Below are 23,668 nucleotides of genomic sequence, written 5' to 3'. Positions count from 1 at the left end.
GCAGACTGGGTTACCCTGCAGGGCCATGTTTAGAGGCTCTCATGGATATAGCTGTGCTTCTTCCAGGCAGGCTCCAGCCCCAGGCCCTGAGCTGATGGGCAGTTTGCTGCACCCTGGAATTCAGAGCAAGAAGCAGCTGCTACTGGCCTCTCTCCAGAGGACGGTGAAAGAGTGGAATCTCCATCTGGGCTTTTCTCTGAGCCCAAGGGACCTAGAGCTTCAAACAAGTTTGTTTTTTTTTTTTTTTGAGATGGAGTCTCACTTTGTTGCCCAGGCTGGAATGCAGTGGGATAATCTCAGCTCACTGCAATCTCTGCCTTCCAGGTTCAAGCAATTCTCCCTCAGCCTGTGGGATTACAGGTATCCACCACCATACCCGGCTAATTTTTGTATTTTTAGTAGAGATGGGGTTTCACCATGTTGGTCAGGCTGGTCTCGAACTCCTGACCTCAAGCAATCCACCCCACCCGTCAGCCTCCCAAAGTGCTAGGATTACAGTCATGAGCCACTACCCCCAACCAATTTTTTTTTTTTTTTTTTGAGACAGGGTCTTGCTCTGTTGCCCAGGCTAGAGTGCAGTGGTGCAAACACAATTCACTACAAGCTTGACCCCCACCCTCCACCCCCAACCCCAGGCTCAAGTGATGCTCCCACCTCAGCCTCCTGAGTAGCTAGAAGTACAGGCATGCGCCACCACGCCTCAGCTAATTTTTTAAAAAATTTTTTGTGGAGATAGGATCTCACTATACTTCCCAGGCTGGTCCCAAACTACTGGCCTCAAGTGACTCATCTGCCTCAGCATCCCAAACTACTGGGATTATAGGTGTAAGCCACTGTGCTGGGCCCAAACAGAAATGCTTAACCTGGAGTGCATGCACTGGGCCACAGTATGACCATGAACTCCTTGAAATTATGTACAAAGTCATACGTGTGTGTGCCTGCATGCATGCACATTTTGGTAGAAACAGTCCACATTTTCATCAGATTCTTAAAAACGTCTGTCACCTAACAGTGTGGTCAAAGCACAGCTGCCTGAGGCCATTGGGCATGACCATCAGCACTGCAGGTAGGCCCAGAGGCCACACTGGGCACTTTTTTGCAGGAAATGTATTGCATTACCTTACATGGAGCTGAGAGAGTACATCTGATGGAATCGCCAGCAGACCTGAGGGCCCACACCTGTCCTGGCTACCACCACATGCAGGCTCTGTCTGCAGGAAGGAGCCCTGAGCTCAGCCATCCATGACCCAGGGCCAGGGTGGCCCTCTGTTCTCGCTGCATGGGTCTTTATATCCTTATTCCTGGACCTTGTGGAGCCTCCAGACCCACCACCTGCCTGGCTAGACAGAGCCTCCTCATCACCCCCATGCCCTTAATCCCGCCTGACCCAAGAGGCATCACATGGCTTGTTCCTCCCTGTGCCCGCCCTTCCCTGGACTGCCCTGTCCCCCAGCTCTAGCCGCAAGTCATCCTCAGACTCTGGAGAGACATTTTGCTGTCTTGCCAGAAACCACTTTGAAATTTGCAAACTCTTGCAAATGGAATAGTGAACAGAGAGCAGGAGGAAATCCCCACAAGTGCCAGTGTTCCCCCTGCTCTCTCGGCTCCCCTCCCCATCCTGAGATGTCCAACTCACACCAGCCTAACTGGGTCTTAGTTCCACACTTTGCCAAACCAGCATGGAAGGGCAGGGGTATCTGGGAAACTCTGCCAGTCCCAGAGCCTCCTGTAGAAAAGCATTTGGGCTTGAGCCCCGGGCACTGGCTGCTGAATTTCCGTCTCCCTGGGACACAGCCTTTTTCCTTCTCACAGATTTTCAGAGCCAGAAAGGAGCTTGCAGACCACCCTGGCCAATTCTCCTCTATTTCAGACTTCACCTTCAGGACAGCATTATTGACTTTTTTGGTTTGTTTTATTTTGTTTATATATGTATGGCTTCTATTCCCAAAGAGATTGTAGGGTTAAGAGATTTCTTTTTATTCCAAGTGTCTACAACAGAATAAAGACTCATACATATAAAAGATACTAGGGCTGGGTTTGAATTCACATTGTCCAACCCTCTCATCTTGCTGACAGGGAAACGGAGGCTGAGAGGAACATTTGGCCTGCCCATGGCTTCCTGACCCTGAGCCCAACCTTCCTCTACTTTTTGTTGATTGATTGACTGACTTATGACAATATCAAGGAGCAGGAGCACCAGACAAGGTAGGGGTGGGCTCCCCAAGCGTTGTCCCTGCAGGCCCCTGCATCACCTCCCCAAGAGAGGTTGGGAATTTCTCAGGACCAGTGTCCTCCTGGACGGTGTGGAGACCCAACATCACTACTTCTGATGCCACTGGAATTCTTTTTTTTTTTTTTTTTTTTTTTTTTTTTTTTTTTTTTTTTTTTTTTTTTTTGAGATGGAGTTTCGCTCTGTCGCCCAGGCTGGAGTGCAATGGCGCGATCTCGGCTCACTGCAAGCTCCGCCTCCTGGGTTCACGCCATTCTCCTGCCTCAGCCTCCTGAGTAGCTGGGACTACAGGCGCCTACCACCTCACCTGGCTAACTTTTTGTATTTTTAGCAGAGACGGGGTTTCACTGTGTTAGCCAAGATGGTCTCGCTCTCCTGACCTCGTGATCCGCCTACCTCGGCCTCCCAAAGTGCTGGGATTACAGGCGTGAGCCACTGCGCCCGGCCGGCACTGTAATTCTTAAAGATATCTCCAGGAGTGAGGGAATTGGGACCAGCCAGCAGGAAGTCTCACCATTTCTTTCAACCTAATGCCAGTCTTTCCCCCAGACATTTCCCTGGGAAGGAAGAAAGCTTTCATTAGTGAATTGGAAAGACAGGCTTCAGATACCATTAAACAATACTTTTTATTGCAAAAGACAGAAACCCAACCTAAGGTTTAGGCAGAAATGGGGATTTGTTGCCTCTTGTAACTGGAAAGAACAGAGGTGGATGTTGCTTCAGGCCCAGCCACACCAGGGGCTCAGATGATGTTGTCAGCAATCTGTCTGCACCTTGCCTCGGTTTTCCTTTGTGTTGGCTTTGTTCTGAAGTCTTCTCTTCCCAAGTAATAGCAGAGATACACACCAACAGCTCCAGGACCACAGTCTCCCAGCCTAACAGCCCAAATGGAAGAGAACACCTACTTACCCAATGTTCCTGTTGGAGTCCCAGGATTGAATCCCATTGGCCAGATTGGGTCACATGCACATTCCAGAACCAATCGCTGCGACCAGGAAATTGAATGATCTAATCCTAGGGGCCTGGGCCCTGTGCTGTACAAGGGTAGAATCAACCTCCTACAGGACCACCTACAGGACCCGAGCTGGGGAGGGGCGGTGGCTTTATGCTGACAAAACAACAGCTGCCCGTTATCCCCTCCCCGGTTTAGCTCCATCACAACCCCACCTCCGTGTGCTTACCGGAGTGGCCATGGGCTGTCTTGGAATGGGCAGGTGAAGGATTGAAGGAAATGGGTAGCGGTGGAAATAGCTTACAAGCCCAGAGCCAGAAGCTGGTAGGCTTGCTGGAGGGATAAAAGCTCCTAGGTAACCCACACCCTGGCTCTAAGTCCGTGGGAAGGATGGCATAAGTGATGCATGTGAGGTTTTTCATATTGTCTTTATTGATCCTCATAAGAATGTCGTAAGATGAGGAGAAGAAACAGAGGCTCAGCGAGTGAGGTCGCATACCCGAGGTCACCCAGCAAGCAGTATTCCAACCCAATTCTCCATCCGAAGCTCTCAGCAGCATTCCGGAAACAGCGCCAGGCCCCCTGGAGGAGCCGGTCTGCTGCTGGCTGCGGGGCTGGAAGGGGCTTGCGGTTCCCTAGCCTCCCTCAGAGCTGCTGGGTTCCTGGAGGAGAGGCTTGTGCTGCCCCCAGGGGAGGGAGGGCAAAATTGGCCTAAGACCAAGGCAGCCGCAGGAGGGGCCAGCCTCTTGCAAATGAAATATTCATGGGGGTTATTGAATCAAGTTTTATTGGAATAAAAATACACTTGCTGAATACATTTATTTCCCCTGGTTCCTTTCAACCCCATTCCCTCCCTGAGTGATTTGATTTGGGGGCCACAGAAGGTTTTTTTCCCCAAGTAAATTAGACTTCGTTCAGCAGCAGAAGGATGCCATGTCAGGATTGGTGCTTGGCAAGGGGAGTGCTGTCTGCGGCCTCTGGGAGGACTGAGGGCCCAGAAGGGAAGGGTCAGGAGGTCAAGCTCCTGGTTCCCACGCACAGGCCCTGTCACCAAAATCATCCACACTCGCTGCACCCTCCCCTCTTTCTTGGCCTCCCTGCCCCTTGCCACTTATGAGGGACCAAGCCTGACGTGTGGAGACAGGGAGAGTCCCACAGGCCTGGAGTCGTGGTGATGGGCCTCACTGTCAGATGGACCTTCCGAAGCCATCTAAGAGGTCCCCATCTGGGGGGCAGAGCAGATGACTCTGCCCTCTCTGCCAAATCTCTCTTCTTTCTGCGTTTCTCCTCCTCACCTTAGCGTTCTTGGTTTCTTTCTCTTCTCTCCTGCTCTACACATCTCATTCTGGCTTCCCGGCCTCTGGCCTCTCTCCAGGGTCAGTCTCTCTCCAAATGTTTCTTTTGGTCTCAGTATCTCTTTGGCTGTGTCTGTGAAGGTCTCTTTTTCTTCCTAACCTCACACTCAGCACCATTCCACAACCCCACACACACTCACACAGAGTCTCATGCACAGGTGCACACTTGCACACGCAGACACCCTCACCCACGCATAGGCAGGCACCCGCTCGCACACACTCACACATGCGCTCACCAGCTTGCACACGCACACCCTCTCCCACACAGTCATTCACGGTCGTGGGCTGCTGGCTGACTCAGCAGATACAGCCAGGGTCTTCTGTCCCCACTCCCTGCCCTAGAGTGGGCATCTGGGGTTCACCTTACTCTTCATGCACTGCACAGAAACCACAGCGGGGCTGAGTCCAGGCCACCCTGTGCTGCCTGTAGCCCCACTCTCTTATTTCACAGGGAGGAGTCGGAGGGGAGAGCCTAGAGGAAGGAGCCCAGCCACAGGTGTCACTTCTCCTGAAGAGCACAGCTGGGCAAGGCGGAAGGACTCTCCCAAATGGGCAGGGCCACTGGCTGGCTGGTCTGTGCCCTGCTTAGTGACTGGAATGAGATGGGAGGGGCAGACTCTGAACTGTGCTGGGGGCTCCATGGACCCCGAGACAGTCAGGCACCCAAGGGAGACTCCCCGGCTCTGTGGCCCAGCCAGCCTCATCCTGTGGACTGCCCTTCCTTTTCCTGAGGCTGGAGGGACCCTGCTGGGGTGGGCACTGCCCCATCACACACATGTTGGTGCCCCAGTGCCCTTCCTCCCCGCTCCCTCTCACATTCACCACTTGACTGTTTCTGGCTTCAAGCCCACCCGGCTCCTTCCCTGAAGTGTGACAATCAGGCTCTTTGCCTGCCCTGCGAGCGGCTCCTTCCCTGAAACCCTCTCTTGTCCTTGAGGGCCTGCCTCTCATCTCTCTGTCTTCCTGGCAGCCGCTAGATCAGCACCCCAGTCCTTCTGTGCTCTACAGGCTGCCTGACAAATCAGGTTCTCCCAGCACTCCTGCTCACTCACTCTTAGGCCACAGTGCTCCCTTTGGGAAACCTCTCTCTGGACCCAAGACCAATGGTCATTCTGCGCCTGGAGCAAAGACATCAGCAAATAGCCTCTGGGCTTCGGCTTCTCAGACCCCTCTAGCAAGTGGAGCCGAGCCTGTGGGTACTGAGGAGAAGGGTGTGACCCTCAGACACCAGGGAGCAAGCAAGGACCTCCTGGGGGAGGCATCCTGGGAGGGGAGGAAGGACGGGTCAGACCAGCAGGGCCGGAGGATTCCGGGTGCTGATGGTAAGAAAAACCAGCTGTGGGAGGGAACATGGTGGCTAGACAGACCTGGCCCCATCCAGGTTCTTCACTTCACAACCTGTATAAGCTTGAGTAAGTCATCTGGCGCTCAGTCAGTTTTTCCTTCTGAAAAGTGGGCACCGTCGTATCTGTTTAGATGCTAAAGGATGAAATGTGCTTGGCCCACAGAAGGTGCTCAGTTAACTGCAGTCCCTATTGTCACCATCATTAGCAGTATCCTGAGGACCCAGGGGCACCAGCAGTTCCCTGAGGTGGCTCCCAGGCTGCCTGTCATCCTGACCATCTCTGCCAGGCCTGATAGGCTGCCGTCTGTCTGCAGATGACAGCTCCATTACAGTAATCATGGGCCTGGTCTGTGTGGCTTCCCCCTCCTCCGTCCCCTACTGCTTATGATAATTTAATCGATCGCACTCACCCGGGCTGTGCTTCTCCAGCAGCTCTTCATGACTTAACTTGGGAAGGACAGGAACAAAAAATAACCCCTGTCCAACATCCCTGAAATTAGGAGCTTTGGCTCTGCTCTGAGTCAGACGACCATGGGTGAACCAGAGAGAGCTTCGGAATCTCCCCTCATGGAGGTATCAGAGGAGAAGGGAAATCAGTCCCTGCCCAAGTTAGGCCACCTTTGGGAAAACTTCCTGTCTCTATAGGCATCCCTTTCCCCATTCACAGGGAGCAGACAAGTACACCAGCATAAAGAAGATTCATTCATTGCTAATTCCCACGGCATTTGAATGAATTTATATTTATAATAAATTAAGTGAATAAAAGTAAACCTCAAATACTTGTATAGCACTTACTATGTGCTAGACACTCTTATAAGGCCTTTACAAATAATAACTCACTTAAACTTGTCGTTTTGAAGGTGATATTCAGCTGTCAGCTTGGATTTGTAGCTGGAAGCTTTGTAAAAGAAGGCAGTTTGGATTGAAGACACTTTGTCGGTGTTGCAGGTTGTCAAGGGCGTTGCTAAGAGGAGACACTGTGTTTAAATTTTAACTCCTTGCTTCCAAAAAAAAAAAAAAAAAAAACTGAATGGATGGAAAGCAGAGTCTTTGTTTTTCTTTTAGAATAGAATGACAAATTGTTTTGCGGTCGTTAGAAAACTCGGGGTTGTGATTCTGATCTCACATAAAATTCATTGAACCATGTAAATGAGGCAGGCTGCTGCTCTCTGATGGCAGTGTACAAATATTGCAGGAAAAGTACTCAAGAGGAGGGTTATTTTGCAAACCTGGCAGCAAATAACTGATCCTCTTCTATAAATGATCCTAATTGATCATTGAAAGAAAATAAACCACAGGATGGAGGAGGGAAGCGGGAGCATGATATAGTTGAAACAAGATTGGCCATATAGTGATGATTACTGAAGCCGAGTGGGTTTTTTTTAAATTAGTTAAATAGAAGGAAAAGATAATTCTATAAATAGCTAATTCTTTGCCCTCTCCCATTCTATGATTTGATACCTAGGAATGTGGAAGGGTCTCTCTCCTCTCACCAAGACATCCATCCCAATGCCTACCCACCCACCCCAAGTAGGTGGGCTCTGATGAATCTACCAGAGCCCCCCCACCAACTCCCACTACCCCACTGAACCCCACCCAACCCCACCCACACAGTAGCACAGGGAAAAGAAGATCATCAGTGGATGAGCAGAGATTCAGGGCTGGGAAAGGTGGAATCTTCTCATCGTCCTCTCAGGCTGTGGCCCGGTGGCCACCTTGCAGTTCCCAGCACTCCTTCCCAGGGCAGGTGTACGCTGTCTATTGGATGAATAAATTAATCTAATTACTCACCACAGGTCTGCTTTTCTAGATTCCCAGGAACATTTGCTGAGCCCCTACTCTGTTCTAGATACTGTGTTGGGAGCTTGCTATGTGTGTTCTCATTCAGTTTTCTGGGAGTAGACTCCTTACCCCCTTTTTCATGATGAGGAAACTACACCTACCCCCATGATACTATAACTTTTATGACTTTCTTCACCAGATTATGAGTTTCTTGACCCAGGGACTGTTTTATCTTTCATCTTTATTTCCCCATAACCCTATCACAGTGAATGGTCAAAAACTGTTGAATGAACGATTAAATGAATGATTAACATTCAACAAGAGGTTAGATGGTGTATCTGGGTTATGCAGTTAGTAAGTGGCAGAATCTGGATTCAGATCTAGCCGAGAGCAACTTTTGCATCATCAGAGCTGCCCAGATGACCCTCACCCTCCTACAGTGGGCTCTGAAACCTCTAAGCTCATTCCAGTTGGCTGATGACCACTGCAGAGGTGACTAATCCAAAAGAGCAATTGCTGGTGAGGGGAGAGGGGACTTGGGTATGTAGACCCCTCCGTGTGGCTCCCTGGTCCACAGATAACTGTGTGCCGTGCTGTTGTGGTGCTGTCTTGCACTAGCTCATGAGAGTCAAGTGTGCACATCTCTTTGCAACTTCATGTTTTGTTACGTCATGTTGATAAGCTTGAAAGCAATCATGGTGGGACGATTTACACCATGGAAATTGGCAAATGCTACAAATCAGGACTTTTTTTTTTTCCTCTAGAGCTGGTTGTTGAGCGCGTACAAGCACATCCCTGACTAGGTTACAGCTGGCAACAGGAAGCTTCCAAGGGAAGTGCAACTGTGAAGCGTACATCTCTATGTGGTTATTTTCTCTGGGGAGGGCTGTCTGACCTCATAATTCATCCCTTGTCACTGGCTACAAGTTGCTACAGGTGCAGTGCTGGTAACAGGAAGCCCATGATGATGAAAGCGGAGAGTTCTCAGCAGTTTAATTTTCTTGCCTCTCACAGAAAGTGGCATCTCCATGTTGGGGAATGGTGGGGTGGGGTGGGAGTAGGGTGCTCTTTGTCCCTGGAGTTGCCTCCCCAGGACCTTTGTTGAATGATGAGCACTCTCCTCCTGGGGTACCCTGGGAATCTCAAAGCGGTTTTTCGTGCCTATCACTCTGCCTCCCAGATTTGTTTTTACAAGTGGTCTTTCTGAGGCTTTCTGGCTGGAAATTCTGGAGCAAACCCAGTGCCTGGAAGAGGAACAATGGAAGCCAGGTCATTGTTTGACATAACCAAATCTTGTTTAGCCCTAGGAAGGAGCCACCCTAAGGGGCAGATATATTATTCTCCTGTATACTGGATCGAATAGTGTCTCTGAAAATGAATGTCCATCTGGAGCCTGTGAATGTGACCTTATTTGGAAATACGGTATTTGCAGATGTAATCAAGTTAAAATTAGATCATACTGGATTAGTGTGGGCCCTAATCCAGTGACAGACATGGCAAAGTCTAGGAGTCCCCACAGTTACTCTCTTGCAGGTGCTATCAGTGCTACTCAACTTTTTATGTTTCTCTCTTCACGATCCCCATCACTACTGCCTTTGTTCCAGGTCTCCTTGGCTTGTGCCTGGACCATCGCCTAACTTCTAACGGCCTCTGTGTTTCCTCTGGCCTCTCCTCACTCAAACCCATTGTAATCAGATCACAGTCCCAGAACCACCACCCCAACCATGGCCCTCCTCTGCTCAAAGCCTGCAGTCACTTTCCTGGCCCCAGAAAGGAAGTTCAGATTCTCCTGTTGAAATTGATAAGACCTCTATGATCTGGCCCCTAACTGCTCCTCCAGCCTCAGTCTCTCTTTGCCTTCACTTGCCTAAGTCAGCCTGTATCCAACTGGAACTACTCTTATTCATTCCCTATACTTTCCCACCTTTGCCAGGTGCAAAGTCTCACTCTTCTCTTTACTGATGTGGTGTCCCCTCTGCATTGTCATGAGACTATATGCTTCCTATACAGTCCCCACTATTATACGGCCCTTGGGTGTCCTTCTTTTCTTTCTCCTTCAAAAGAATCATGATGGGTGTTGGAGTAAGACAGCCCAGCTTCAGATCTTTGGCCTCAATTCACTGTGGGGATATGGCAAGTTAATTGATCTCTCTGAGCCTCAGATTCCTCCTACATCTGTTCCTCAGTGAGTTGTGGAGATTAGATTAGAATGTGCATGTCAGGTGCCCAGCACAGAGAAGTCACTCAGGAAATGGGGGCTCCTTCTGTATCCCCAAGGACTCAGGATTGCAGGTGTGCAACATAAGTTGCCATGTTAATATCAAGAGCAGTTGTGGGGCCTGGAGACCTGGGGTGGGGGTGGGAGGCCTGAATTCTCAAGGCCCAGACAGAGGATAATGGCAAAGCAAGCACAGAGCCTGAGTGGGAGGGTGAGGCTAAGAGCAGACAGGGCTGGCTCACCAAGGCCACTTGGGTACTGACATGCTTCCCTGACTGACGATGGAGGCCAGAGAACAAGATGAACTCTGCCGCTGCCCTCTAGTCTCCTCCAGCTCAGCTTCCATGTGGATGGGAAAGGGCATGGAGGACAAAGACTTGAGTTCCAGCCCCACCTGGGCAATGACTCATGAGCTATCTTGGTCAAGACCCACTCCTCTGTGGGCCTTGCTTTCCTTATCTGTAAAATGACAAGGCGAAAGAGGAGAATCTCCAAGGTTCTTACTACAAAAAGGACAATGAGATGGAAGTTAATCTCCACCCACTGATACAGCAGCAGAGTTCCAAACTAAGCCCGGTCCAGCTGGCTGGCCCTTACTGCAGAACCCCTGTGCGGGGGCTGGCCCATCATCATCACTGGCCCTGCTTCCTAGAGAAAGCTGGCAAAGTCTGGGATGGCCTCCCCAGGGCTCCTAGGGGAAGCGCTGCTGCCTGGTGGCCTTGATGGCTGTGGCTTTTGGCAGGCAGGGAGCAGAGGGCAGGTGCTTCAGGGCCCAGTTTAGGGCTTGTGGGCATCACAGAGATGACAGCTGCATCTGCCCTCCTTGTGTTTTCTTATTTGTTCCCAACAGGAAATCGATAATGTCAGAAACTGTGGGATAACTCTACAGGCCCAATCAATGGAACCTAATTAATTCAGTCGTGGCCGTTGGGTAAATTTGCTGCATCATAATTAGAATTATTAATTAAAAATAGGAAATCGATTGACACAAATTAAGCAAAGGAGGAGTCAGTTGGGCTGCTTTGACATTGCATGGGCAGGCGCTTGAAGACATCCCATTGGCTCTAGCTTTGGGGTCTGTCATCCCACATGAGTCCCAGACTCCCCCACACCACAAGAGCCTAGCTCCAGCACCTGCCACTAACTAGGGAGCGGAGAGCCCTGGGCCTCCAAATGCCCAAGCTGGAGGCCCTCAAGAAGCATTTCACCCAATACTTACATTTTTTAATGAAAAACAGTAAGGATTTTAGGAGAAAATATATTTCTGCTCATTATTTTGCTTTCTTCTTTTTGTGTTTATAATGTTTTTGGTAGAGATCAGGTTTCACAATGTTGCCCAGGTTGGTCTCAAATTCCTGGGTTCAAGCAATCCTCCTTAGCCTCCCAAGTAGCTGGGACTACAGGTATGTGCCACCACGCCTGGCTAATTTTTTTTTTTTTAAGAGATGGGGTCTCACTATGTTGCCCAGGCTGGTTTCAAACTTCTGGGCTCAAGTGATCCACCTTGGCCTCCCACAGCATTGGGATTACAGCCACCTCATCCAGCCCTATTTTGCGTTCTTTATGCACATGCATACATCATCTTACCATAATACATACATAATTTATGTGCTATTGTGTTCTTTTTTCTCTCAACATCATGGCATAACTGTTCCTTTATTTGCACAAAATTATCTTTTTGAATGGCTGCATAGTATTCTCTGGATATACCATAATCTGCCTAACCAGTTCCCCATTGTTGGCCATTTAAGTTGTTTAATAATAATAATAATAATAATAATAATAGCTAAATTCCCTGGGGGTCCATTCTCACTGCTTGCACTGTGGGCGCTACATGCATCGTTTTTTCTGATCCTCATGACAACCCTCCGAAGCAGGTGCTATTAGGATCCACTTCAGATGGGGAAGGGAACACTCAGAGGAGTTACGCGACTTGCCCGAGTGACTTGTCTGGGGTCACTGGAGGCTTGCTGAAGTTGGGGTGTGGGAAGATGAGGGCTCTCAAGTCCGAGGTTGTTCTGCCTCTGACTTCTCGATGTTCACAAGTGGGTGGCCACACACAGCTTTCCGCATCTCGCTTTTTCTTGTCCCAGTGTCGTTTTTATAGATGAAGACACTGAGGTCTGAAGGGAGGAAGTGATTTAGTCCAAGTCCCATAGCTGGGCAATGGCTTACCCAGGAAGGGAGCCAGGCCTCCTGGTTCCCTGGCCAGAACTCTTTTGACCTGCCTCCCACTCCCATACCACCTTCCTTCTCAGTCCCCTCCCTCCTCACTGCTCCCTCAGGATCCTCTGAAATCTTACGGTGGCCACAAGTGGGCACAACAATCCCTGAGAACATCTGTCCTCAACTGAGTGCCGAGACTAAAGCCCTTGGAGGGTCAGAGCAGCTCCTGCCCCACCTGGCATTTCTATACCAGCTCTGGGATGGTCACCACCTGTGACTGCTCCTGCCAGACCCCCTTTACACACACCCTGTATTGTACCAATGAGTGTGGCTGCCACATAGAGAGTCTCCATTGTCCCCAGTGCTCTAGCTGGGCAATTCCCTCCCAGCACCTGTGCCCCTCTCCCCACTGCCACACCCAATGGCTTCCCACTTGTCAAGAGTGGACTTTCTGACCATGCTTGAAAGTGGTTTTCTCAATCCTCATTCCACATGCTGCCCACATGGACTGGAGCCCAGTTAAGTTGGCTGTGGGTTATAGGCATTTCAGTGGCTCCTAGTGGTGGAACCCCATGTTTTCTTTCCCATTTAAGAAAACATCTAGACATGCAAGTGATAGAGAGGGAAGTTATCATGCACGTCCAACATTGACACTCTGTTATTTAGTATGAGAAATAAATTATTCGCCAGCTTGGAACTACGTTAGTAGCAAATCACTTGTGACAAACCCTGCACTCTATTCAATAGAGCTGTCCAACCTGCAGTCCATGGGCCGCATGCAGCCCAGGATGGCTTTGAATGTGACCCAACACAAATTCATATACCTTCTTAAAACATTATGAGATTTTGCTGGGTGCGGTGAGTCATGCCTGTAATCCCAGCACTTTGGCAGGCCAAGGCAGGTAGATCACTTGAGGCCAGGAGTTCGAGACCAGCCTGGCCAACATGGTGAAACCCCATCTTTACTAAAAATACAAAAATTAGCATGGCATGGTGGTGCACATCTGTAATCCCAGCTACTCAGGAGGCTGAGGCATGAGAATTGCTTGAATCCAGGAGGCGGAGGTTGCAGTGAGCCGAGATCATGCTACTGCATTCCAGCCTGGGTAATAGAGTGAGACTGTCTCAAAAAAAAAAAAGAAATTATGAGTTTTTTTGCACTTTTTTTTTTTTTTTTTAGCTAATCAGCTGTTATTAGTGTGTTTTATGTGTGGCCCAAGACAATTCTTCCAATGTGGCCCTGGGAAGCCAAAACACTGGACACCCATTCTCTATTGGATTATGCTGGTTTGTCATATACAACACCACACTAAGAGCACCTCATCCAAAATATGAAGATTATTCTGCACTGGTACTAAAAAATATTTTCTGAAATACCTACAGCTTTGGACAAAGTCATTCAAGCCTTCTTCCCCCTACCCACCTTTTCTTTAGAAACCATATGTGGGCCGGGCACGGTGGCTCACGCCTGTAATCCCAGCACTTTGGGAGGCCGATGTGGGTGGATCACGAAGTGAGGAGATCGAGACCATCCTGGCTAACACGATGAAACCCCGCCTCTACTAAAAATTCAAAAAAAATTAGCCAGGCACGTTGGCATGTGTCTGTAGTCCCAGCTACTCGGGAGGCTGAGGCAGGAGAATGGCGTGAACCCGGGAGGTGGAGCTTGCAGTGAACCGAGCTCACGCCACTGCACTCCAGCCTGGGCAACAGAGCGAGACTCTGTCTCAAAAAAAAAAAAAAAAACCATATGTGACCCAGAATTTTCACTTTCTAGATTCTGCTCAGTGGCCCCAGCCTCTGCTTTTGAAATACCCACCCCTACAACTCACCCTAAGACACCTATCCTCCCAGGAAGGGGTCAATGGGTCTTGGGGAAAATAAAGTCTTGAGTCATAGATGTGAGTCAGCCTAACAGAGCCTCCCAGCCACTAGGAAGCATCCCCAAGGACACTTCCTCTTCCCAGAATGACATGCATTCCCCTGCACCCTCCCCACCCCCATGACTCCCAAGAAGTACTGTTAAGGGACTGGTCTTTCCTCTACTGGTAATTTATAGCACTCATGTGCTATTTAAAAAAAAAAAAAAAAAAAAAAACTTAGGTTAACGTGTTCTCTAACCAACTTAATTACCACAAGCCTCCTTCTGAAGATCGTTCCAGCTAGTTGAATATTAATCTGCAATTCAAAGAGTCCCCAGGCACAGATTGCAAGATCTTGTACATGCAAGTAATTAAGACCATAAGTAGACAGACTCCAACGAACCAGGGATTTCCTCCTAGAATGTAAGAGTGAAAAGCCTTTATGAAGTTCTGGTTACATTGCTGTCCTTTTCAGCAGCCTCCAGCTCACCTGGCAGGCAGGCTGGAACAGAAATTTAGGTTTTGCTATTTTGTGGGTCCTAGAAGAGGAGCTGTTGTAAGATAGAGGCAGAATGGTATAGAAGAAGGAGCCCTGGCCTGGTATTCCAGGCAACTAGTTTATAGCCCCTTTAACTATTTTTTTTTTTTTTCTAAGAGACAGAGTCTTGTTCTGTTGTCCAAGCTGGAGCGCAGGGGCACAATCATGGTTCACTTCAATCTTGAACTCCTGGGCTCAGACAGTCCTCCCACCTCAGCCTCCTGAGTAGCCAGGACCACAGGCACATGCCACCATGCCTGGCTAGTTTTAAAAATTTTTGTAGAGATAGGGCCTCACTATATTGCCAAGGCTGGTCTGGAACTCTTGGGCTCAAGCAATCCTCCCACTTTTGCCTCCCAAAGTACTGGGATTATAGGCATGAACCACCATGCCCTATAACTCTTTTACGGTGGGCAAGTCACTGTCCCTCCTGAGGGGCAGAAGCATCCTCATCTTTAAAAGAAGGGAGTTAGACTAGGCTGTAATTTTGTGTGTGTGTGTGTGTGTGTGTGTGTGTGTGTGTGTGTGCGCGCGCGCGTGTGCATGTGTGTTTCATCGTGAATGACTTAGTACTTAGCACAGTGCTCAAGTGACGCTGGGAAAATTGATGGTTTTCCCCTAGTGCTTAGAAAAAGGGTTGAAGGAAGGGCCAAGAGGGTAGGACTCAGGGACCCCTTCCTGACTCCTATCTCTGCTTCAACTACAACATCTCTACTTTTGTATATCTTGTATTTGTGGTTCTTTCTATGGTTTCACTAGAAGACAGGGTTCCCTGATTTTAAAAAACATTGTTGAAAACCACAGGCCACAGTGAAGTGTGTGGTTCCTGTTACCTCAACAGCCTCTGAGTTGATGACCCTGTGTTTCCCCTGGGCTCTTGGTCTGCATAGTGGACACTTCACTGTCCCATACATCCTCCTTGGAAGAGGCAGGAGGAGGTGCTGCAGAGAGGGCCTGAAACCCTGACAACCATGCCACAGCTCCATGCAGCCAGGGACTGTGCTTGATCTGTGTTTATATTGATGCTTCTTTCCAATACCCAACCCTTGCCCACCACTGCCCCCTAGCAGCACAGTGCCTAAATAAGTGCTAGGCACTTAGTAGATGCTCAGTAAATAGTCACTGACTGGGTGAAGGGGTAATGAGAATGTGCCCTCTGTGCCTTCTTTTCTTTTCTTTTCTTTTCTTGAGACAGGGTCCACCTCTGTTGCCCAGGCTGGAGTGCAGTGGCACAATCTCAGCTCACTGCAGCTTCTGCCTCCAGACTCAAGCCATCCTTTCTCCTCAGCTTCTGGAGTAGTAGCTGGGACCACGAGCACGTACCACCATGCTTGGCTAATTTTTGTATTTTTTGTAAAGATAAGGTTTTTCCATGTTTCCTAGGCTGGTCTTGAACTCCTAGTCTCAAGTGATCCACCCACCTCAGCCTCCCAGGGTACTAGGATTACAGGCGTGAGCCACCACACCCAGCCTGGGCCATCATTTCTTTTGTTTGATGTTTACCCTAGCATGCACACAGGGAAATTATTCAACTTTTCCCTGACAAGGAGAACCTAGCAGGGAATCAAAATATTTGAATTGAGGGGGAGCCATTTCACTTGCCTCTGGAATATGCTATGTGGTATAAATGTGTGACTTTATTTTCCTGAGTTTGTCCCAAGTATGGGCTTGGCTGTTGCTTAAGGCTAAACATTGCATAAGCCTCATGCTGCTAGTGATGCATGTAAACGCTGCCGTCAACATAAGGTAGTAGCCAGGGCTAGCCAAAGTGCCTGGTGACTCACGTGTGCTGACCTATGAGTCTTCCTAAGTTAGCACACTCAGTGCTGGCACGGTGGACCCTCAGCCCCAGGCAGGTCAACAGCGTGCAGCCGCTGAATCCGAACCTGAATTAGCCTTGCTGTTAGCCACTGAGCCAAGAGGGGAAGAATTCAAACCAGGCTAATAGAAAGAATGTGGTGAGGTAAACCCCTGGGTGAGGGAGAGGGAGGGGGCTTGTGTTTGTTTGCAATATTGGATCAGTGGGCTCAATTTCCTCTGCTTCCAAGGGAAAGCATGAAGGTCTCCCTCCCATTATGTGTCCACATGTGCACGCTTCCCTTTCTTGGAGACTGGAGGGGCTGCCAGCAGGGAGCTGCCCTTGGCTGTCTCCCAGCCATAAAGCCCACCTCTCCATGTTCACTGCTCTGCTCTTTAGAAAGGGCTTTTATATACAGGTTATTTAATGTCATTCGGATCTCTTATTCCTGGGATATAGACTGGAACAAAAAGCAGAATGACAGCAGCAATTAATTTTCCTGTCGAGGATGCCAGCAGCAGAGAGAGAGCCAGGCCAGAGCAGGGAGCTCAACACAACAGCAGGATTTGGAATTCACAGCCCTAGGAGTCTCTGTCTGGAATCCCTGGGCCCACCATGTATAAGTCATGCCCTTAGAGCTCAGCCACATGTGGAGAATGGGGGAAGGAGAAAGTTTGTTTACTCTCCAGACCTTGATGCTTGGCCCTGCCAAGCAGAGATTAAATGAAAATGGAATGGTTTGGCTTCTCCTCATCCCCCTCAGAGGGCTCTAGGCCAGCACTGCTTTAGCTCTGCAGGCTCAGGGAACTCAGGGAGAAGCCTGGTGCCTAGGTGCATAAAACATTAGAGCTGGCAGGGACTGAGTCCCATTCTTCATTCTAGAGACCCTGTGTTAGAACAGCAGCCAGAGCCCCGGGCTCCTGATTCCCATCTCTCCCCAGTCCCAGCCTGCCTCTCCTCTTCCTTCACAGCAACAACAAATAGGGTGTATGTGTGACTCATCTTATCTTTATCCCATTTATCTCTCTATGAGGTCAGGTCTTATTGTCTCCATTTTGCAGATGATGAATACTGAGGCTTAGAAAGATTAAATACCAAACATCGTACAGCGCCTCTGGTTAACAAGCCCTTTGTCATCTGATTCAGTTTTACTCTTACAGCCATTTCGGTGGATCGATTTTAGTAAACTCACTTCCCCCTAGAGAAAACTGAGGGTTGGAGAAGTGAAATGACTTTCCACAGCTAGTCAGTGGGTAAGTTGCACTTGAGCCCGGCTACTCTTCACTGCGTGTACATGTTAGTGGCTGAGCCAGGGCTAGAGTGTGGGTTCTGACACTCAGCCTGCTAGCACTTTATACCATCCCTGGTGGACCCCATTTCCTGGACACGATGACACTGTCCCTCAGCTCAATGAGTATGAACGCTGTGACATCATCCTTCCCACCTAAGATATGTCACTGCCCACCTCCACTCTGAAAGTCCGTGATGCTTGCAAATGTCACCAGCCACCATCTGAAAAGGTTTTTGTTTACCCACAGGGAAGCCAACTGGACCATTTTTCTTAAAACTTTCTCAAGGATTCTTCCAGCTTAACTCAAGCCTCCACACTCCTGCCTTTTTTGCTTCCCACCTTGAGAGATCGTTCCACTGCATACTTACTGGAGCACGAATCATAAGAGTATTGCCAATTTCTAATTATAGTATTGCACTTAAGTGTTTTCACAAGCATGTTTTCAAGCATTCTATCACCTGGTAAAATGATCTCCACTTGGCAGATGAAGAATCAGAGACTCACTGTTGTAAGGGATTTGCTCTGGGTCACAAAGGCTATCAGTGACTGAACCTGAACTCAATTCTGAGCTTCTGGCTCCCAGTTCTGTATTTTTCAGTTTAAGGCTGTGAAAGAACAAGCACCGACTAGCAGAAAGTGGAGGTGGGAGAAGAAGTTTCAGGAGAACAAATGCCAGAATCCCCTCCTGTCATTTCGATCACCAGGATATCCTGGAAATTAAACCATTAATTTGTATCTGTTTTTCTTTTTTAAGAGATGGAGTCTCCCTATGTTGCCCCAGATGGAGAGCAGAGGCCATTCACAGGCATGATCATAGCACACTGCAACCTCGAACTCCTGGGCTCAAGCGATCCACCTGCTTCAGCCTCCCAAGTAGCTGGGGCTACAGGCATGTGCCACCATGCCTGGCTTAATTTGTGTCTTATAGTAACAAGATTATTATTCTAGTTTCCAAGGTCTGTGTTCAAAATTTCATTGGGGTGGAATTCAGCACCAAGGACAGCACACCGGGTCCCATTGCCTGCAGAAATACGCTAGCCCTGGGTGTTGTGAGGCTTGAGAATTGGAAAGGTCCTCTCAGGTCACAGAGTCCAACCTTCACCCACTGTAGAATTCACTCCCACAATATTGAGTGCCTATCTGGCCTCTGCTTGAATACCTTTTGCAGTGGGGCTCTTACCACCCCCAAATTCAGTCCTTTCTGTTGATCCATAGTTTGCACTTAGAGACAGCATCTCCGTAAGTGCAGGAAGTCAGGGAATGGTGGCTGTTGAGAAGAGGTTCACCAAATTCTTTTTAAAATTATTAAATATTTGTGACATACAGGAAAATAGAGAAAATAACATGAAAAACACCCACCACTCAGACTGAACAAATATTAATATTCACTATATTTGCCCCAGATTCTTTTTAAGAAAAGAAAATATTACAAAAATACTTGAAGCCCCCCCTCTGTGCCCCTCCCTGGTTGAATTATCCTCCCTCTCTTTCTCCCCAGGGGTCATGTGTATGGTTGTTAAGACCCTTCATCCAGAAAGTTATGTCAGAGACAGAAGAGTTCCTAGAGACCTCCTTTTTCAATCCCTTCATGTAACAAATGAGGAAAACAAGGTCTAGGGGGAGGACTTAAGAGCTCAGGGGTGATCCTAAGCACTTTTACGGCTATTATCTTTACTTTCATTCCAGCTTTCAATGTGGGGCAGGACATGGATTGGTATGTCCGTTTTACAGGTGTTTGGGTTGTTTCTCTGACTTTTTAGCTCTCTCCCTCAGCTCCAAGATATTGAGTCACCCTTTTGCAAGTGGAAATATCAGAGAAATCACCACTGGAAAAGTTCCTCAGCCTACCCCCTTTTCCATATGAGAAATTTGAGTCATGGCCAAGATAACTGAATAATAAGGGAAATCAAATGGACTTGCCTTGTCGGAGGTCTAGCATGGGACAGAGTGGAGCAGGACTGTGGGTGCAGGAGCAGGAGGAGTAGCTTTGGTGAAGTTTAAGGCACAGGAAAGCAGGGGCTTCCAGGAACCTGGGCATGAAGGGGTGAATGGAGGGACTGGGCAGTGGGAAGGCTGGGCCTGAGCACTGAGGGCTTTGAATGCCAGGCCGTCATGCACCTGGACTTGAACCTTGATTTACAAAGAAGCCATGGAGAGGCTCTTGGCAGGGCAGTGACCTCACCAGATTAGTCATTTGGAAAGACCATTCTGGGGTGGGCAGAGGTGGGGTGAGGGAGGGGACTCGAAGTGGGGTGCTGGTTTGGGAGCCTGTTACAACAGTCTGTGGCCACCACGGCTGCTCTTTCTCCTGGTGCTGTTGGGTTGCTTGGCAGATAAGGCAACTCTCAGGCTTCACTGGCTTATCCTAGGCCATCTCCTCCCCACCCTCCATTCAGCCACCCCTAAGGATAGAAAATTTGCTTTCATGAGACCTAAGAAAAACATGACAAATAAGGAAAACCTCCATAACTCACTGGCACATGGCAGGGAAAAGACAAGCACATGGGGATGTCTAGGACTGTGGTTCAGCTCAGATGCTCTGATAGAAACAGCCCTGGGCCAGGCGTGGTGACTCACGACTGTAATCCCAGCACTTTGGGAGGCCAAGGCAGGCAGATCACTTGACATCAGGAGTTTGAGACCAGCCTGGCCAATATGGTGAAACCCTGTCTCCACTAAAAATACAAAAATTAGCCAGCCGTGGTGGTGCGCACCTGTAATCCCAGCAACTCAGAAGGCTGAGGCAGGAGAATCGCTTGAACCCAGGAGGCAGAGATTGCAGTGAATTGAGACTGCACCACTGCATGACTCCAGCCTGGGTGACAGAGCTAGACTCTATCTCAAAAAAAAAAAAGAAAAAAGAAAGAAAAGAAAGAAACAGCCCTAGACTTAAGAGAACTATTCTAGGCTCAGCCCTGGTTCATCCTGTGACCTTGAAAAAATCATTTTCCCTTTCTAAACCTCTGCTTCTTCACCCCAAAAAGGGAGAACTGGACTAGCTGATTGCTCAGGTTCTGCAGTTCTAATACTTTATACTGACATCCTCCTCCTCAACCTCTCTGAGTCACCTATGGGACTCTTGACTCTGAGGTCTGCGAACAGCCTGCTCAGCCCTGGTCCTTCATAATCATAATTGCTACAATTTATTGTGCATTTATCATGTGCTTGCACTGTGTAAAAACATTCAATTACTGCAACTACCCTACCATGTCAATGCTATTATCATTTGCATTCTACAGATGGGAGAAACTGAGGCACAGAAAGTTTTAGTAACTTGCCCAAGGTCACCTGCAGAAGCAGGACTTGACCCAGGTCCATTGGTGTCCACAGCTCATGCTCTGAATTCCTATACCTTAATGCCCAGACCCAAGCTCAGGCCCAGGCCAGGCCCCCACAGTAGTGATTTCCAAGTTCTCCTTGGTCCACTTTAAACCATGAGGCAAAAACTTGTCTGGGGCTCTCCTGGGCTTTGTGAGTGACCAGACTCCACCCCCGTCCTCACCCCTAGAGAGCTCTACTGAGGAGCCTACCTCCTGTTTGCTCATTTTAATAAGATTGTTCTCTCTCTCGAGCCTGAGTGATGACAGGTAGCCAGCTAGAACTAACTACAGTGTTAACTTTGCCTTGAAATCCTCTGCGAGCTCTGCAGCTGGAGACAGCTTGCGCCATGAGCTCATTAAGCAACAGAAGCCTGTCTCCCCACCACCAAGATGCAGGCAAGAAAACCTGTAACAGATCCACTTTTACACTGAGTCGAAAAGATCTGTGCTCACCCAATCCCCAACAACTTCCTTGGGGTTGTGGTGTGAGGGGAGGGGATTCCATTTCCCACCCCCAGTATTCAATTAGCTGCCAATTAGGCACTGAAAGGTCCCCCATCCCCCTGCCAGCCCTGACCCAGAAGAGGAGAGGACCGCAGAGCTCTCAGCCAGGCTCAAAGGCCTTTTGATTGTGCACCTGAGTTTATTCTGCTCCTTTCACTCAGGGCCTGGCTTCCTTTGAAAGTGAAATGTTTTAAAAGGAAAAGAAAAGAAAACCCCACACTTCGGGGAGGCCCACTGGGACCCCCTTTGGTTCAAACATCCAGTTCAAACGGCCTCCCAGCTACCCCCCTACATCTCCCAGCATGTCAGTCTGGGACAGCCTCACCTAGTCCTCCCACCTCCACCTCTTCAGGACCCAGCCATTGAGAGGGGAGATGAGAGAGAAAGAAAGGTGGGGCAGAGTAAAGGAGGTGAAAATGAGAGTGAGGCCACCGAGATGGAAATAGAGACAGAGAGAGAGGAGAGACACCAGGGAAGCTGCTTCTCAGCCTCCTGTCCTCTCAGGGTGGGGCTGAGCAGCAGAGTGACGACCACCATTTTAGTATTTCAGCTTCCAGGGAACCCGATGCTTGGCTGTGACAGCATCCTCTACCCGGCTCTGGAGTACAGAGGCTGGAGACCTGAGGGGCTCCCAATCCTTCCAGCCTGGGGAAGTGTCTATTTTTCCTCAGTTTCTAAGTGCCTCTTATTCCTCTCTCCTCCCTTCCTCATACCAGCCAGACAGAGCCACGAGGTACAGATGTTCAGGTTGTGCACTGCATAGAATAGACACAGAGAAACTTTCGTGGGGGCGTGTGGATGTGTGGGGGGACTCCAGCCTTCCCAGCAGCATCTGAGAGCAGCAGGGAGCCTCTCCAACATGCACTTACTGGCACACACTGCTGGCGGCTGCTCCCAATCCTAACTCTAGACATCCTCTGAGGCCAAATTTCTGTCCCCACATGTCAACTCTGAACCAGACAGGTTAGAGAACCTAGAGACTCTCCAACCAGAGTATCCTGCCCAAGTGTTTCCCAACACACCTGTGATGCCATTTCTGCCTCCAGCCTTTTGCCCATGCTGTTCTCCCAAGCTCCACCCCATCCTTTAAGCCCACTCTCCCTCCAGGCCCCACCAAGTCTCATCTCCTCCTAAAGCTTTCCCAGCCCTGAGGCTATCCTCCTCTTCCTACCTCAAGTGCCTTCACCTCTTCCTGGGGCCTTTCGCTTCTCCACTTTTAGTGTGATTTAGCCATTGTCTTTTTTCTTGTGGAATAGTGTCTCCGTCTCTCCACTCTAGGTTGTGAAGACCTGAGGACCATGTCATTTTGTTATCCCTAGCTTCTCTAACCATTTCCTGTATGGAGTTTGCTGATGAATTATTCACTGAATCAACAAATATTAATATCAACCCCTGATACACATCAGACAGCATGTTATGTCAGGGATTGTGTATACAGTGGGGAACAAAACAGACTTGGGCCCTGAAGCTGGTGCTTTTGCTTTTTTTTTTTCAAAGAGACAGTTCTCTCTCTGTCACCCAGGCTGGACTGCAGTGGTGCAGTTATAGCTCACTGCAGCCTGGAATTCCTGGACTGAAGCAATCCTTTCACATCGGCCTCCCAAGTAACTGGCACTAGAGGTGTGTACCACCATGTCCAGCTAATATTTAAAAATTTTTTTGTAGAGACAGGGTCTCACTATGTTGCCCAAGCCGGCCTTGAACTCTTGGCCTCAAGCCATCCTCCTGTCTCAGCCTCCCAAAGTGGTGTGGGCCACCATGTCCAGCTGCAGATGCTCTTGATTCCCTAGACCCCTCAGTGCTCACCTTTACACACCAGAGGCTGCCCCCAGCAAGCACCTGTCACTCCACCACAGAAGGACACACAGAGCTAGTGGGGAGCACCCAACACCTAAGCTGCCCTTCACCAAGGACAGGATAGAGAGGCTGATGGATAAATGCCCTGGCTTCCGTGCCCTTGACTGGGATAACTGAGGCAGTGGCCTTCATAGTCTCCCAGAGGTCCGGTGGGTTAAGCAGCACTTGTACTTCATCTCCCTTCCCTTCCCTGTGCACTGCCCCTTTCCCTTACCTGGCTTCCTGGAGCCACCTCAGGGTCTGCTTCTGGGGAAGCCCAAACCAAGTGCCTCCCCTGAAGGAGTTTACAGCCAGTGGATGATGATAATGACCTACCGTCAATCCTGACAGTAATTCTGCTACCTAATTAATTTACTTGCACATAGCATGATGCCTTGATCATTGACTTTATTCATTCATTTATCTCCACATTTTCTTGAATGTTTTGTTGAAATGTAGTACCGAGCACCT

At 49.1% G+C, this 23,668-nt stretch overlaps 1 protein-coding gene and 1 long non-coding RNA gene across 25 annotated transcripts in view; both read left to right on the top strand.

Annotated features, from left to right (window-relative positions):
- MEGF11 (multiple EGF like domains 11) overlaps window positions 1-23,668 on the top strand; it is a 358,452-nt gene that overhangs the window by 230,363 nt on the left and 104,421 nt on the right. The window lies entirely within an intron of this gene.
- Window positions 2,690-3,999, top strand: LOC105370867 (uncharacterized). 2 transcript variants are annotated; one of them, XR_932377.3, is made up of 2 exons: window positions 2,690-3,506; window positions 3,629-3,999. It is a non-coding gene; the product is annotated as an uncharacterized LOC105370867 (long non-coding RNA). The 2 variants fall into 2 exon arrangements; XR_932376.3 differs by having other exon boundaries at window positions 2,690-3,537.

This window comes from Homo sapiens, chromosome 15 (assembly GCF_000001405.40).
Source record: "Homo sapiens chromosome 15, GRCh38.p14 Primary Assembly".
NCBI lineage: Eukaryota > Metazoa > Chordata > Mammalia > Primates > Hominidae > Homo > Homo sapiens.
This window is presented reverse-complemented; position numbering and strand designations above follow the sequence as displayed.